Source organism: Homo sapiens, chromosome 21, assembly GCF_000001405.40.
Source record: "Homo sapiens chromosome 21, GRCh38.p14 Primary Assembly".
Classification (NCBI taxonomy): Eukaryota; Metazoa; Chordata; class Mammalia; order Primates; family Hominidae; genus Homo; species Homo sapiens.
Genome location: NC_000021.9, coordinates 7,382,703 through 7,387,451, shown reverse-complemented (window position 1 = coordinate 7,387,451; position 4,749 = coordinate 7,382,703). Strand labels below are relative to the sequence as shown.

Genomic DNA, 4,749 nt, shown 5'->3' with positions numbered 1-4,749 from the left:
TGGGTACTAGACAGAATTCTGTACACTTTCCTGGAGGCTCCATTCTGGTCTGTTCATTTGGAAGTTTCAGGCTGTCTGTGAGGAAGTAACAAAAGAGATGTCTCAAAGCAGGTTGTGGGGCACAGGCTGAGCCCTTGTCTCCCTCCCTAGTCCCTCTGCAGACACGGGGCTGGAAGAAGGACCTGTGGATAATGAGGGAACTGCTCTTCGAGAACCGGCCTGAGCAGCTGCTTCAAGAAAGAGCCACATTAAAGGTGCCTATAGCCCCTGATGAGGGAATGGCAGCCTCAGGCCCGCCTGCCATCTGTGAGCAGGTTTTCTTGCTAACAGGATGAAAGCAAAGAAAGCTGGAATGAGCCCAGCCCTCTCAGGCAGCTTGAAGGCTGTTGGGGCTCTTTCCAGGCCTTCTAGCCTTATGCTTTTTGGCAGGCCACTTAGGCACCTTTTTCCAGCCTCTGAGACTTCCATGCTCTGGAAGGAGAGGGTCCCACTTTTCACTAGGCTATGGGGCAGGCCCATCCAGCTCCCGGCTGCCACTAACAACCATGGGGCTCTCACCTGGGCACCCACTGCCCAAACATGGCCCTTCTAAGGCAGAAGATCATGTGTCTTGCAGTTTCAGCTTGCTAGGGCTTAAAAGTTATCAGTGCTGTTATTAAGATAGGGAAGTGAGAAAGGAAAACTTGCTGTAAAAGTTTCCCATAATCTTACCACGGAGATCATCAGCACAGATGACAGCACAGGTGGGGCTGCTGGGGAGGCTGAGGGAGAGTGTCCAGCCTGTTCTGCCAGCTGGTCCTTGCCAGGGGTGTCTCGTGACCCAGTCCCTTAGAGAAGCATGCAGATATCTTAGCAAGTATCTGGAAGGTGCAGATCAGGGCAACCCAGCACCACTGATGGTGGAGTGGGCCTACCTCCCATCAAGCTGTGTCTCCACAGCTGACCCTTGAAGCCAGGAGGTGATTTACAACATGTGCAAGGCAGTGAGCTCCATCAGCTGTGTGGCCTTCAACATTCACTTCAACTCGGACATCTCACCAGAAAGCAGTGGGGACTGGCCAATGCAGAAGCCTGCAAAGTGGAACAGAGCGTCATGGGGTGGGGGATGTGGGGCCTGCCTGCTCATCTGAGCACTGCTCCCTGAGGGTGTGATCTGCAGGCTTCCTGAAGGAGGGCTGTGAGCTCATCTGCGAGGCCCTGAGCCTGTGGAACATGGCTGAGGCCAAGCCCATGGGGATTTGTGTCTACTTGCACCTCCTTGCTCATCTCAGTACACTACAGGTGACTGTGCCGAGGTGGGCCTTGAGCATCCCCTGGGCTGTGTTAGCAAAGGGCTCTGGGCCTGGCCTGGCATTGAGGGATGGCAAATAAGGGGCCTGGGGTTGCATTGTCACCCCCTATGGTAGCATAAAATGAGAGAGTCCGACCTGCAGGACTGGAACCCTATCAAGGGGGTTAGGAGGCTGCTCACTTTCCCTCAGGGACCCATGTGGAGGAGCTGAGGGAGGTTAAGGAGACCCTAGGGACTCACTTGTTCTGTCTGGGCTTCCCTCTGCTCCATCGTTTGATGACCATTTTCTGGGAAGAGCTCAGGAACCTCCTGTGCTCTAGTGAGACGGGGCCTCCCCTCACAGGGTATTCTGAGACTGTGAGTGAGAAGCTAACACAGTGCCTTGCAATACTCACGGGAGCTGTCATCCTCTGTGACCATCACGTGGCCTTGTAGTGTTCAGACTGCCTGGCCTGCCTGGGGTTTGGTGAGGCTGTTTTGTGGTCAGCTGCTTTAGAAGCTCACTTTCTCTGCAATCAAACAGTGACTGTTTTCATGTCTGTTTATGGGTTTAAAAAATCCTAATATTTCCTTTATAGTAGTTTCAGCTTGCATGTGTTTATTTGTATAAATTTTAGTGGAATAAAGAGAGCTTAAGACAACAGCATTTTAAGGTCTTAATGAGGCATAGACTTTCATGTCACAACAGCTAATGTTGACCTCTGTTTGCTACCTTTGTGTAAAGTATACACATAAAGTACAGCCAGAGGTGACTAGAGCTGAGCTGCTTGGGCTTGCTTGCTGGCCTGCAGTCAGGTGGACTCTGGCTGCAAGGCGGTGCCCACCCTGGATCTACATCCCCCACTCTCTCTCCTTAGTCTCTGAGTAACCAACAAGGCCGTGCTAATGAGCGGGCGAGTGATGGGCATCGCGTACCCCAATACTATCTGGGAAGATTTGAATGCCAACTGGGCTGGAGCTGTTGGGATTAGGGGCTGTGGCTGCCTTGGCTTGTCATGGTGCCACCCACAGATGTGCCTGCCCTGTGCTGCTTCTCCAGCAACCGGCTGCCCATGGCCCTGAGCCTGTCACACCATGCTTGCTACCTCATGCTACTTGTGTTTGAAAAACCCATCCAGAGATGGCATTGCTGGATGTGAGTGCTGAAAAGGGGGCAGCACCTTTGTCCTGGGGGATTAGGAGCTGACCAGATTCCTCTTGACTCCCTCCCAGAACAAGAGGGGCAGGTGCTGCAATTAATGATGCCCCCCAGAAGATGTGTTTGCACTGGCTGAGGGAATACACGATGCAGAGACCTAAATGAAGACACGTGAATGGGGTGTGTGGGCATCAGTTAGCAACTGGGAAACAGGTGCCTCTCAGGCCTCTCGTGCTCCAGCAAGAGTGGAATATGCCTGTGCCCATGAGTGTAGACATCTGGAGTGTATACATTTGGCTGCTGCTTTTGCTGCCACTATCCCCAGGTCCAACCTGGCTTGAAGTCCAGGTTTTAAGTAAAAAAATAGGAGGCTTTTTGCCATACAGCTACTTGAGAGGCTGAGGTGAAAGCATCACTGGAGGCTAAGAGTTTGAGGCTGCAGTGACCCATGATTCAGCCACTGCACTGTCAGAGTGAGACCTGCGTGCACCCTTCTACAGATAATAGCTCTGGGGCATTTGGGGATCCCTACAGTCCGGGACATCTCCCTGTCCCCTGCTGCCTGTGCTTCTTCCCTTGCCTGCTGTCAGAGCCTAACATGGAGGAGGAGGTTGCTGCCCTGTGAGCCTGAGGGAGCTGTGTCTGACTGGGACTTCTGTCTGGGGTTTTGTGAAGAGCTACTTATGAGTATGGTCTGTACAGATACCTTGTTTCAAAGAAAGTGAGCATGAGCTAGCAAGTGTAGCCACCCCACAGCTGATAAACAACTTTGTCTTGTTTTTAAATCATCAATCTTCATTTCACATTGGAATAAAGTAATTGAAGCCTGCTACCCCAGCCTCGCCCGTGTGTTCTGTAACCCAGACTCATTTCGTTGTGTGGGCTGTTGTCAGAAATGTTATAAAAAAAATTACGCATAAATAATATCAAATGTAAAATTATGCTTATAATGTCACTTGAGTGGGTGGTAAGAGGGTAGAGTCACAGGAAATCTGTTGGGGTTTACACCCCTGATACTTACCAAGCTCATGAGAGTGTGGCAGAGGTGATCATCACCTGACATTTGTGGCAGAAGAGAAAAGTCCAGCCTGAAGGCCAGGTAAGGGAGAGGTGCCAGGTTGTGGGGCCAGGCCCTGCGCATGCTGGGCCTGTTATGTCACTGAACATCTAACTGCCCGGGAACCGGCTCTTTTCACATCATCTGAGGTAAGAGGATGGAGAAGCACTCTCCAGAAGTCACACTGCGCTGGGAGAATAGAGGAGAGCCTACAACTCACCATCCTAAGGTAGGTTTTACATTGAGCTGAACTGTCTTCGAGAGCTAATGAGATGGGAGGAAGACAGTCCCCCAGGTGCACCTGACAGCCAGAGCCTATGAAGTTAGGGGGGTTGTGTGGGGGTGGCCTGTTCCTATGAGAAGAGGAGCTTAAAGCTACTAAAGCTGGTGGCTGCTGCTCTGCCATCCCTCTACAGAGCAGGCAGGTCCTCAGCTGCATGTATAGCTGAATGTCTTTTGGAGTGTTAGAGAGTCCTCTATGTCTTAGAAATTTTGAAAAGAAAAACAAATCTCAATTTTAATGTTGATTAGTTTCTCTGAGCCAGTTGGGAAAAAGATGTCCTTCACCTCAAAGATTTAAGTGACACCGAAGGGTAGCCACCAGTGTCTCGGCCACTGAAGCCTCATGCATGCTCTCACTACCAGTTTGATTTGCAGCCCCATAGTTGTGTTGTACTACATATTCTTTCCTCTGGCCTTGTCCAGTGAACACGGTTCACATGGCTAACACCACTTCTTGAGATGCGAGCACCATGCAAAGCTGAGAACGGATTGGGTTTTGTGACGATTGTGCCTCCTCCTCACCTGAGAGGCCCATTTTTCCTGGTTGATTCATTAAGTGTATTAGTGCTGTCAGTCGCCTCTGGACAATTGAAATGACAAGTGGCTGTTGATTCATAAAGAAAATGAAGGCTTTAGATGTGAAACCCTCGTTTTCTCTTGTCCTTCTCTTAGGTGAAAGATTTTATTTTTTTCAAAAGGCTACATACTGGTATCCCAGCAGGTGTAGTGTGAGAACTGGCATATGTTAGGCTATGGTGTCAGTGTGGATGGGCAATTCTTCAAGATGGAAAACCAAGTCTCACTGAGTTGCTGGAGCCACAGTGACCTTTCTCCACATCCCCCACCATGGGCTTTCACTTTTCTCCTGTGCTTGAATTTTTTTCACATACAAATTCTTTATACACACACACAGACAGACACACACATATCTCACTCTGTCAATGCAGTGGCTGAATCATGGGTCACTGCATCTTCAAATTC

General features: G+C 50.2%; 1 long non-coding RNA gene across 1 annotated transcript; it reads right to left on the bottom strand.

The window, feature by feature from the left end:
* Window positions 1–729: 729 nt before the first annotated feature.
* Window positions 730–3,479, bottom strand: LOC105379502 (uncharacterized). The gene is made up of 4 exons (XR_951145.3): window positions 3,451–3,479; window positions 1,687–1,800; window positions 915–1,071; window positions 730–827 (listed from the first exon to the last, which is right to left on the bottom strand). It is a non-coding gene; the product is annotated as an uncharacterized LOC105379502 (long non-coding RNA).
* Between the last annotated feature and the right edge of the window lie 1,270 nt (window positions 3,480–4,749).